General features: G+C 43.9%; 1 pseudogene; it reads left to right on the top strand.

Annotated features, from left to right (window-relative positions):
• HMGB1P20 (high mobility group box 1 pseudogene 20) lies at window positions 6725–8060 on the top strand (annotated as a pseudogene).

Raw genomic sequence — 12253 nt, 5'->3', positions numbered from 1 at the left:
AGCTACCACCACTTAAAGAGTGTGGTTAATTGTGGTTCATGTCAAGGTACCAAGAGGCTAGTGTTGCAATTTTCTTTTCTCTACACTTTGCTTTGCTTTGAGATGGAGTCTCACTCGGCTGCCCAGGCTGGAGTGCGGTGGTGTGATCTCAGCTCACTGCAACCTTTGCCACCTGGACTCAAGCGATTCTCCTGCCTCGGTCTCCCGAGTAGCTGGGATTACAGGCGTGCGCCACCACACCTGGCTAATTTTTGTATTTTTAGTAGAGACATGGTTTCACTATGTTGCCCAAGCAGGAGTCTTGAACTCCTGACCTCAATTAATCTGCCCACCTCATTCTCCCAAAGTGCTGGGATTACAAGCATGAGCCACTGCTCCCAGCCAGTATTGCAATTTTCACAGGAGGCTTTCACTTTACCTTTTCTTAATAACATACTGTTCCCTTGCCTCCAACTTGGTTCACTGGATAGAGTATATAGATAAGATTTGTACAAATCTCAGCAATTTAAGAATTTGCAAATGTGCATAGGAGTGAAGACAAGGTAAGAGTGCGATTAGAAATGCTCAGTGTGGCTGGAAATGTAATGAGCATGCTTTATTCTCACTCTCAACTTGAGATCTCCAAACTCACTCTATTCCATCCCACGGTATCTGCTTTCTCCTTTCTATTAAGCAACCAACCATTACTGAGCATTCTCGATTTTCCAAGGAAGGTGCTCATATATTTTTGGTGAATCCCATGAAGCCCATATTTGTAGCGGACATATGCTGTAATCCCAGAAGCAGAAGGGACCTGGTCCTCCTTTCTCCACTCTCCCCACACTGTGGAAGCTTCAGGGCACAGAGGCGATTGAGAGTTGCTCAGCAGCAGTGGTGCTGAGCATTTAGCTCTGGCCACAATATCCGGTGGCCAGTGCAGTTGATGTCAACATCAGTTTCCCAACCAGACCAACCCTGAGGCTTTGCCCTGCATGACTTTCCCTGCTCCCTGAGCTCCCTTAGGTTCTGCTAAGCCTGGTTCTATAGCCTTCCCTTCTATTGTGTGAATTGTCCAAAACTGATTCAATAAATTCCTCTTTTGCCTAAGCAAGCCAGAGTCACTTTCTGTTCGCTTTCAACTTAGAAGTCAAAGTAACATAATATTATTGCCATCTTTTTTAAGTGAAGACACTGACATTTGGAGGTCAAGGAACTTGCCAGATGTGTAATACCCAGCCTCCAAGATGGCCCCCAGTGATCTTCACCTCTTAGGTATTTATTTGCATAGTCTACTCCCATGTTGAATTAGGACTGGTCTGTGTAGAGTTCAGCAGGGATAATATGTGACTTCTGAATTGAGAGCATAAAGGACTTTGCAGCATCTGTCTTGCTCTCTTGGATTGCTTACTCTGGGCAAAGCCAGCACCATGCTGTGAGAATGTATTTACCATGTCTTTTATTTTTGTATTTTTATGCCTGTCCCAGGACTAGCCAGTTTTTAGAAATAGCAAACAACCATGAGGGTGCGTCACAAATGTAAACCAATCAATCCAGAGCCCACACACTGCCACCTCCATTATGGGCTCTCACCCTCCAGGCCACTATCCACCTGCCCTAATCACCCCAGGAGTAGGAACTAGGCAACTAGGGATAGCCCGTATGGCCCAGAGCCTGCTGAAATGATTCAAACTATTCAATCCAAAGCCCAATTACCCTCCCTCACTCATTCCTTCCCACAGAAACCACAATAAAAGTTTGTGCCCCTGGCCAGGCGCGGTGGGTCACGCCTGTAATCCCAGCACTTTGGGAGGCCAGGGCGGGCAGATCACAAGTTCAGGAGAATGAGACTACCCTGGCTAACACAGTGAAACCCCGTTTCTACTAAAAATACAAAAAATTAGCTGGGTATGGTGGCACACACCTGTAGTCCCAGCTACTCGGGAAGTTGAGGCAGGAGAATCACTTGAACTCAGGAGACAGAGGTTGCAGTGAGCCAAGATCTCACCACTGCACTCTAGCATGGCAATAGAGCGAGACTCCATCTCAAAAAAAAAAAGTTTGTGCCCCTGTTTTCACTCTGCTCCCTCTGCCTCCTGACTGATCTTGGTACTTCCCCATGTGGCTGGTGTGACACACCCCTTCCTCTTGAGATCTGTGAGCATAACAAACTATCTTTTTATTAGCAGTCATTCCTGATCTGATGGCTTTGCCATACCTAAATATTAATAAAACCTATATTTTAAACAGAGAACACTCAAGTACCATGTGGTGAAGCCCATATGGAGAGGAACTGAGGCCTCCCACCACAGCCAGCCCCCATTGGCCAGCCAAGTGAGTGGGCCTCCTTGGAAGCAGACCCACCAGCCCCAGTTGAACCTTCAGATTAGGGCAGCCCCAGCCCACACCCATCTGCAGTCTCATGAGAGGAGAGAATCTAAGCCAGACTTCCCATTCAAAAAGATCCAAAATTTGCAACCTACAGAAACAGAGACAATACATGCTTATTGTTATTTCAAGCCACTAAATTTTGAAGTAATTTGTTCCTCAGTAATGGCTTCTAAGTGGAGGAACTGATTCCTCCACTAACCCCACTTGGGGTTTCTTGTTGCCTCTCCAGTGTGCCAGTGTGAAAAATAGCAAGATACCTTGGGCTTCTGACTCAAACAGTAAGAAAAAAATTGTAATTTCACATAACAAGAATTCAAGATGTAGAGAGCATCTAGGGTAGATTAACAAAGCAGCCCAGTGATCTCACTCAGGCCCCAGATGATTCTCTTCATTTCTCTGCTCACTCAGCCTGTCAGCTGATCATTCTCTTTTTCAAAAGATGGCAGCAGCATTGCAAGCATCTCATACAGACAGCGCAGTTGAGCGCTGTTATTGGTTTAGACCAATGGGAGCACAGTTATTGGTTTAGACCGATTATCAATGGGAGTGCAGTGATTGGCTTAGGCCAATAACCAATGGGAGCATAGTGATCAGTTTTCCTTTGGGGATGAAGCTTAAGAGTTCTTCACTTGATCACATAGGGCTGGGGACACCCTTGAACAAAATCCAGGTTCTGGCAACAAGGAAAACCTATGCACAAGGGTTGGGGTGACGAATGACTTAGGTACATTATCTTCTATATAAGCCATCAAGGGGCCAGCTGCACTAGCGAGAAGGGCAATAGAGGCCCAGAGAAGGTGTCGGGAAAGCAGAAGAGTCGGGGCAGGTAGGTCAGGGCCAGTTGGAGGGCCTTGGGCTTTACACACAGAATGAATAACCTGAATGAGTCATTACCTAAACCACTGTTCCTTCACTCCATTCTCCCTCCTGAGAATGGGTTATGCACCTGCTCACACATGTGACTGTTCTTTCACATCACCAGTTTGGGTTGGGATGACATGACCCAGCTGCCTCCAGAAGCCTCCCAGCCAATGGACCCAGAGCAGGCTGTGGGCAAATCAGTCAGGTGGTGGCTGCTGATTGGAATTCATCCACATTCTCAGGGTGGAGAGCAGCAGATGTGTGCAGCCTCCTCCCCTATGGAGGGGATGCTATTTGTTTAAATGGTGGTTGGTGATGCCAGAAACACTTGGCCTCATTTATCTGGATATAGAATAATCCAGCACAAATAGATCAGTAGTAGTAGTACAGCAGCGATAGTAGCCCAACCCTTTTACTTTGTAGACATAGAAAACCAAGTTCATGTTGAAGTGACTTGGCCAGGATCACAAAGACCAAACTAGAACTAAGACTGAGTCTTAAGACTCTTGCTTTGATTCTGTTTCTCATTATACCTTGTAGGAAAAGTTTCTATGCCAAATTCTAGGCCAGATCTATAACGTCATTTTTCTGAGAAACAAAACTGCTTTAGGTAAGTTGTTCTAATAGTTCCTCAAGTTCATCTGAAATCTACTAATTATGTTTGATATGGAGACTTATTTTTAATGTTGTGTAATTAGACTTGCAAGTTCCACCCTTAAAACTTTTTATCTGTTGTTTACCAACACAGGCCAAGATTCCAGCTAATAATATTTTCAACCACTTTTGTCATTCTCCAATAAATTACATAGAAAATTGTCAAGAGTAATTCCTGGCCGGTCATGGTGGCTCACACCTGTAATCTCAGCACTTTGGGAGGCCTAGGCAGGCAGATCACGAGGTCAGGAGTTTGGGACCAGCCTGACCAACATGGTGATACCCCATCTCTACTAAAAATACAAACAAACAAACAAAAAATTAGCCGGGCGTGGTGGTGCGCACCTGTAATCCCAGCTACTCAGGAGGCTGAGGCAGGAGAATCACTTGAACCCAGGAGGCAGAGGTTGCAGTGAGCCAAGATTGCGCCACTGCACTCCAGCCTGCACAACAAAGTGAGACTCTGTCTCAAAAAAAAGAAAAAGTAATTCCTTTCCAGTGACAGCAGAAATCAGAGACTTCAAGTCTCCAGTTCAAGTTCACTGGACTCATTACTTCAAAGGGAGTATAATAAGCTCCCTGAGATTATCTTTCTGAAGTAACTCTTTTCTGTCTATCAGCTGACTTGCAACTGATTGTGTACTTGACACAGATCCACATGACTCGGTGCAATGGGAATAGTCCAGCAGTTTTGAATTCTCAGATGATTTTCGCTCTTTGTTTCTTGTCTTGTTTGAAGAGATCAAAAGGGAGCTCTATCGCTGTGTGATAAGTATGTTTCTATCACTGTTTTCCATAGCTTTCCCTTCCAAGATCCATTATAACTTTGGAAATGTGGTGAAATGTGTCTTACCAGACTAAATCTGGTAAGGTTTAGTCTAGGGGTGTGTGTGTGTGTGTGTGTATGTGTGTGTGTGCATGCACGCATGCCCGCATGTATGCTAGGAGTAGGCAGAGTGGGGAAAGGAGGTAATGTGGGGGTTGCAATTGTAGCACTTGGATGAAAACATGGATGTTTAGCACACATCTACAATAAACATGATCTTCATTATTTTTAGTTAGCCACATTATTATTATACCCAGAAAAATAATTTTAAAAGCTTTCAAAGGTTAAAGAAATGATTCACAGCAGATAATCAGAATCTAAGTTGGCAGTCTGTTCAGTACCCATCACTACTTCTCCCACTAATTTTCAGATTGCCAACTTGCTATCAGTAAAACATTCTTAGTCAAGCAAACGATTTAACAATTATTTGTCCTCATCCACTTTTGCACACAGGTGAATAAGCTAATGTGGGCTGGAAACAAGATTAGAAACAAACTCTGATTAAACCATTCATTCATCAAATGTACATTAAACACTTACTATCCGACAGGTTTTGTATTACGAGAAAAGAAACAGTAAACAGGAGGCTGGGTGCAGTCACTCGCACCTGTAATCCCAGTACTTTGGGAGGCCAAGGTGGGTGGATCACCTGAGGTCAGGAGTTCGAGACCAGCCTGACCAACATGGTGAAACCCTATCTCTACTAAAAATACAAAAATTAGCCGGGTGTGGTGGCACATGCCTGTAATCCCAGCTACTTGGGAGGCTGAGGCAGGAGAATCGCTTGAACCAGGGAGATGGAGGCTGCAGTGAGCTGAGATCGCACCACTGCACTCCAGCCCGGGTGACAGAGCGAGACTCTCTCAACAACAACAACAACAAGAAACAGTAAACAGGAAAAGAAAAAAGGTTTCCATTCAGTAGAACCCTGTGCTGGAGTCCTGGACAGCATGCATGGCCACACACTGGCGAGGCACCAGTCTTGGTGTGAGCAAGGAGACAGTGCAGGAAAGCCTTCAGGAGGAGGTGATGTCGGAACTAAATGTGGAAGGACAGGTGAGAGTAGACAGACATGGAGGTAAAGGGAACAGGAGAAAGAAAGGCTTGGAGGTGTGAGGCGGGAGCGTGCATGTCAAGGACCTCACAGTTAACATGGCGGGGGGCGGGGGTGGGGTCAGCGGGGGGAATGAGAAGGATGGAGGCAGAGGGTCGGGGGCTCATGCGGGGCTGGGTTGGCTTTGCCAGGAGATCAGACTAAATCCTGATAGCCGTGAGAGCTATTGTAGAAATAATTTCAAGCTGATCAGATTTATTTGGGTTTACTGTAGGAGGGAGGAGGCTGTTTTTGTGTATTTGTTTAATCTTTTTTGGACAAGCCTTAAGATTAGTAAAGGACTATACGAGGTCCTTAATATTGAAAGAGCCAATATATACCGTCATACATTCTTCCAACATTCTCGTTATTCACGTAGTGCATTCAGATAAATATATTCTCAACAAATATTTCCTTCATTTGTAACATCTAGGCAGAGGTGGGCAAGAGCAGATAAAAGAGATGGCAAACTTTGATGACCTTCTTTATATGCCTCAAGGCCTCACCACTGATATGTCATTGAGTATTTCACACTGGCTTCCTCTGACTCTTTTCATCAAGGTCTTAACAACCATTGTGTCAACATGTGACCTTATAAACTGTACACAAGGACCCTTTTTGGGACAACATGATCATGGGAGAGAAATCTCTCCCCTTGCCTCCCTCTTCCTACCCATCTGTGCTTCTGCCTGAAGTCATCGGTATTTCAGAGATTAAAACTGTTCTTTAGGTCTTAGCCACCAGTTTTTATTTGCATGAGCCATACCAAAGAAACTGAGAAATTGCTTTTGTGGCTTGTCTACTTGGAACTTTGAAAAGAATGAACAGTAACATTCTCAGTCAGATTCAGATTTCATGTAAAACCTGCTTTAGAGAACTGAAGGATAAGACATGCTTATTTACAACTTTTAAATTATTATCCTCTCGATAGAGACAGCACCAGGGAAAGTGAAAGCCAGACAGGCACTGGGCGACTCTGTGCCTCACTGAGGAAAAATTACTCAACATGAGCAAAGGAGATCCTAAGAAGCCAAGAGGCGAAATGTCATCGTACGCATTTTTGTGCAAACTTGTCAGGAGGAGCATAAGAAGAAGCATCCAGATGCTTAGGTCAACTTCTCAGAGTTTTCTAAGAAGTGCTTAGAGAGGTGGAAGACCATGTCTGCTAAAGAGAAAGGAAAATTTGAAGATACGGCAAAGGCGGACAAGGCCCATAATGAAAGAGAAATGAAAATCTATATCCCTTCTAAAGGGGAGACAAGAAAGAAGTTCAAGGATCCCAAGGCACCCAAGAGGCCTCCTTCAGCCTTTTTTTCTATTCTGTTCTGAGTATTGCCCAAAACATCCTGGCCTGTCCATTGGTGATGCTGCGAAGAGACTGGGAGAGATGTGGAATGACACTGCTGCAGGTGACAAGCAGCCTTAGGAGAAGAAGGCTGCAAAGCCGAAGGAAAAATGCGAAAAGGGTCTTGCTGCATATCGAGCTAAAGGAAAGCCTGATGCAGCAAAAAAGGGAGTTGTCAAGGCTGAAAAAAAGCAAGAAAAAGAGGAGGAAGCTGAGGAAAATGAAGAGGGTGAGGAGGGGGAAGATAAAGAGATGAAGATGAAGAAGACAATGATAATGAATAAGTTGGTTCTAGTTTTTTTTTTTCTTGTCTGTAAAGCATTTAGCCCGCCTGTACACAACTCACTCCTTTTAAAGAAAAAAAATGAAATGTAAGGCTGTGTAAAATTTGTTTTTAAACCATACATTCTATTTTTTTGTATAATTAACACATTACCGAAATGTTTCTTTAGATAGCGATGTCTTGGTGGTATTTTTTTCTTTTTATATTTTGAGACTGAGTCTCCTCTGTCACCCAGGCTGGAGTGCAATGGCACCATCTTGGCTCACTCCATCCTCTGCCTCCTGGGTTCAAGCGATTTCCCTGCTTCGGCCTCCTGAGTAGCTGGGATTACAGGCACACGCCACCATGCCCTGCTAGTATTTTCAATAACCACTAACCTTGCCTGGTAAAGTATGGGGGTTGTAAATTGGCATGAAAATTTCAAACAGGTTCTTTTTGGTGCACAGCGCAAATTAGTTATACATGGTGATGGTAGTTTTTTTCATCTTCAGTTGTCTCTGATGCAGCTTATACCAAATAATTGTTGTTCCATTAACTGAATACCACTCTATAATTGAAAAAAAAAGTTGCAGCTGTTTTGTTGACATTTTGTTGACATTCTGAATGCTTCTAAGTAAATACAAATTTTTTTCCTTTTTTTTTTTTTTTGAGACTGAGGTTTGCTCTTGTTGCCCAGGCTGGAGTGCAATGGTGCGATCTCAGCTCACCACAACCTCTGCCTCCCAGTTTCAAGTGATTCTCCTGCCTCAGCCTCCTCAGTAGCTGGGATTACAGGCATGCACCACCACGCCCAGCTAATTTTGTATTTTTAGTAGAGACGGGGTTTCTCCATATTGGTCAGGCTGGTCTTGAACTCCTGAACTCAGGTGATCCATCTGTCTCAGCCTCCCAAAGTGCTGGGATTACAGGCGTGAGCCACCACACTTGGCCTAAATACAATTATTTTTAATAAAAAAGAAAGTATTATCCTGTCAAGAGCCACCCTAACCAGACTCAGTACAATGTTAATACACATCACCCAGAAGAGAGGGCACCTTCAGTTCGTGCCAGAGAATCTCTCTTGTCAGTAAAAAGTTAAAAAATAAAATAAAAAAAAAAATCACCCAATTTGGGCAGTGTTACCAAATGAGACCATTTTTCTTTGCAAGTTCACAAGTTCTTCTTTTTCCTTTTTTCCTTATTTATTTATTTCTCTTTTATTTTTGTTTGTTTGTTTGAGATGGAGTCTTGCTCTGTCACCCAGGCTGGAGTGCAGTGGTGTGATTTCAGCTCACTGCAACCTCTGTCTCCTGGGTTCAAGCGATTCTCCTGCCTTAGCCTCCCCAGTAGCTGGGATTACAGGCGCCCGCCACCACGCCCAGCTAATTTTGGTATTTTTAGTAGACACAGGGTTTCACCATGTTGGCCAGGCTGGTCTTAAACTCCTGACCTCAGGTGGTCTGCCCACCTTGGCCTCCCAAAGTGCTGGAATTACAGGTATGAACCACCATGTCTGGCCGATTTATTTCTTTTTTAAAGAGACAGGATCTTACTATGTTGCTCAGGTTGGTCTCAAACTCCTGGGCTCAAGCCATTCTCCAGCCTCAGCCACTGCCCCACCTCCCCCGCCCGCAATTGCTGGGATTACAGGTGTGCACCACTTAAGGTTTTGCATTTATTTTCATTTATTTTCAAACCTTTTTTTTTTTTTTGGCTCCTTTCCTGGTCATCATAGTCACATTATTAAAAAAAAGAAATAATACATTTAGATAAATCAACATTAGGAACTACTTATTACTCCCATAGAACATATTCTGTTGTTTTAGGTGCAAATATTTCCAAAATGTAACTATTTGTATGTATTTTTCCTCTTAATTTACCTGAAAGACGCTCACAAGTATTGAACTTGATGAAGGAAAATTATAATTTTCTCTTTGTGATTTTTTTAAAGAGTAGTCAGGGGTAATTTATTATAACAAACCACGAAAGAAAGTTACATTTTAAAAGTATTTTGTTGATTTATATGTCAGCAATGACTTCATCTGCCTAGTCAATGAAAGACACAAGAGTTTTAAATAAACTCCCCACATGCTGAGCTGTGTGCTTCCCTTATCCTATCACCCCAGCCTCTCCAGTTTAATGACATAAGGTGAGTAATGCTACAATCTGTTGAAGACTCAACAAAGTCACGCTTTGTAGACACCACAAGAGTTAAACTGAACTTTAATAATAACTTCAGGCTGGGGTGCCGGAGGTGGGAGAGCACCAGGAAAAACAGCTAGTGCATGTGGGGCTTAATACCTAGGCGATGGGTTGATAGGTGCAGCAAACCACCATAGCATATGTGTACCTATGTAACAAACCTGCACATCCTGCACATGTACCCTGGAACTTAAGATAAAGAAAAAAATAGGCCGGGTGCAAGTGGCTCACGCTTGTAATCCCAGCACCTTGGGAGGCCGAGGTGGGCAGATCACGAGGTCAGGAGTTCGATATCAGCCTGGCCAATATGACGAAATCCCATCTCTACTAAAAATACAAAAATTAGCTAGGCATGGTGGCGTGCGCCTGTAGTCCTAGCTACTTGGGAGGCTGAGGCAGAAAAATCGTTTGAACCCCGGAGGCGGAGCTTGCAGCCAAGATCACGCCACTGCACTCCAGCCTGGGCGAAAGAGAGAGACTCCGTCTCAAAATAAATAAATAAATACTAATAATTGCTTAAGGTTTATCTTACAATGCTGCCACTTCCCCCAACAAGTCTGGAGATTGAATGGACATGAGTTTAATAGGAGAGGGGTGGAGGGTAAGGGCTGCAATTGGGGAAATGGGTAGAGGAAGAGGAGGCAGATTGAAAATAGTTTTTTAAAATCCTGGTCACTGAGTGGAAAGCGTGCTCACATTCCTAGGAGCAGAGGGGGAATATGGGTTAAACTTAAGGGACACACTAGGAGTTAATCATTCAGGGTACAGGGTGAACGCAAGTAAGAATTCTAAAAATGACGACTTCTCCTTCAAAACTGAAGCAGTCTGCAAGAAGCAGAATTGGAGAGCTTATTAGCTTGACTCCTTTGCCCTCTGCAGCTGATGCTCCCAGTTTAAATCCTGGCACAACCCTAAAATAAGAGTTAGCTCTGCAAAGGTAAAAAGAATTGAGGACACTGAAGAATATATAGTGGCACAAAGAATATTTAGTGGCACAAAACTAGCTCACAATTCCACATTGTGTTAGGGCAGCTCTGGCCTCTGCATTCTTGTGTCTGTCCACAAAGGTAACTGAAAAGGAAGCAGCCAGGTAAGTCATTGTTGCGAGCCGTTCTCCCGTTCCACCTCTTCTCATTTTGTGGTGTCAGTTGCTTCGGAAAGAACAAGGGGAAACGAAGGGTGGCCAAAGGAAGGCATCCCATTGTGTGTACATGTCAGTTTCACATTCTGTGCCCTTTATGCCAAAGAGGCCTTTGCTAGATACCATTTCCTCCTAGTTTGCCACCAAGATGGACAACAGACCTTTTCAACAAAACCTGCAAACTGTTTTAATTAATATTGCTAACATCAGGACAGATGTTACAAGATAAATCTCTTCCTCCTTTATTCTCCTCCTTCCCTAGCCATTCCACCCTGAAACATTTTGGGGCCTGTACTAGATACTAGAGACACAAAGGAGACTAGAACATTCTCTGTCGTTGAATTATTCTCAGTCAAATGAAGACGGAAACTGTGGTCTGAAAATTTTGAATAATAAAGCCATTTGTGACAGCGACACAGCTCATATTGGAAGTGGAACTTACATTTCCTGACTCATAATGAAGACCTTTATGCTCAACACCACATACAAAACATGTGCGATGTATAAAATGGGTAAATTCCATTAACAAATACATTTATCATTTCGGGATAGGCTATTTGTGTCAAGACAGCAGAATTTCAAGTACTAACTCATCTTCCCCTTCCACCTTCTTTTTTAATGGCCTTATCTGAATGACTCTGTGCCTACCACTAGAGAAGTGGTCTAAGACTTCTTGCCTTTTTTTTTTTTTTTGAGATGGAGTCTTGCTCTGTCACCCAGGCTGGAGTGCAGTGGCATGATCTCAGCTCACTGCAACCTCTGCCTCCCAGGTTCAAGTGATTCTCCTGCCTCAGCCTCCTGAGTAGCTGGGACTGCAGGTGTGTGCCACCATGCCTGGCTAATTTTTGTATTTTTAATAGAGGCAGGGTTTCGCTATGTTGACCAGGCTGGTCTCGAACTCCTGACCTCATGATCTGCCCGCCACAGCCTCTCAAAGTGCTGGGATTAGAGGTGTAAGCCACCACGCCCAGCTGACTTCTTGCTTTTTTCACTGAATGGTTTGGAGCACACACAAAGGGCTCACACCTGGCACTGTCACTTATGAGCAGTATAAATTTGGGCAAGATTCATAACTTTTCTGAACCTCGGGTTTCACATCTAGGATCCAGAGCTAATATTTCTTTCCTCATGGGATTGTTGTGATATTAAAAATAAAATACTGGGACACAGTAAGCATGCAATAAATAGCAGTGGTTGTTATTAACAAAGAGACTGTCTAGCATCTCCTCTTGTTTTAAACCCCCTTCCTGAGAGAGGTGGAGAAAGAAGACCTAACTAGCAAGCATGGCTTTCTGGAGGGAGCAGGACTTGTAGCTGTTGCGGCATGAGACAGTAGAAGCAGAGCTTCAGCTCTACCAGGACATTCTTCCATTTCGATACGACAGAGTGTCCTGATGCAGCTGGGCTTTTGGGGGTAAGCACCCAGCAACCCCGGGAAATTGGAGTTGAAGCTGTGGGTGCCAGAGACCAGGAGAGGTTCCAGGAATCATAAGACGTTTGTA

This window comes from Homo sapiens, chromosome 6, assembly GCF_000001405.40.
Source record: "Homo sapiens chromosome 6, GRCh38.p14 Primary Assembly".
NCBI classification, from domain to species: domain Eukaryota; kingdom Metazoa; phylum Chordata; class Mammalia; order Primates; family Hominidae; genus Homo; species Homo sapiens.
Note: the sequence above shows the minus strand (reverse complement) of the source record. Positions and strands in the feature narration are given on the sequence as shown.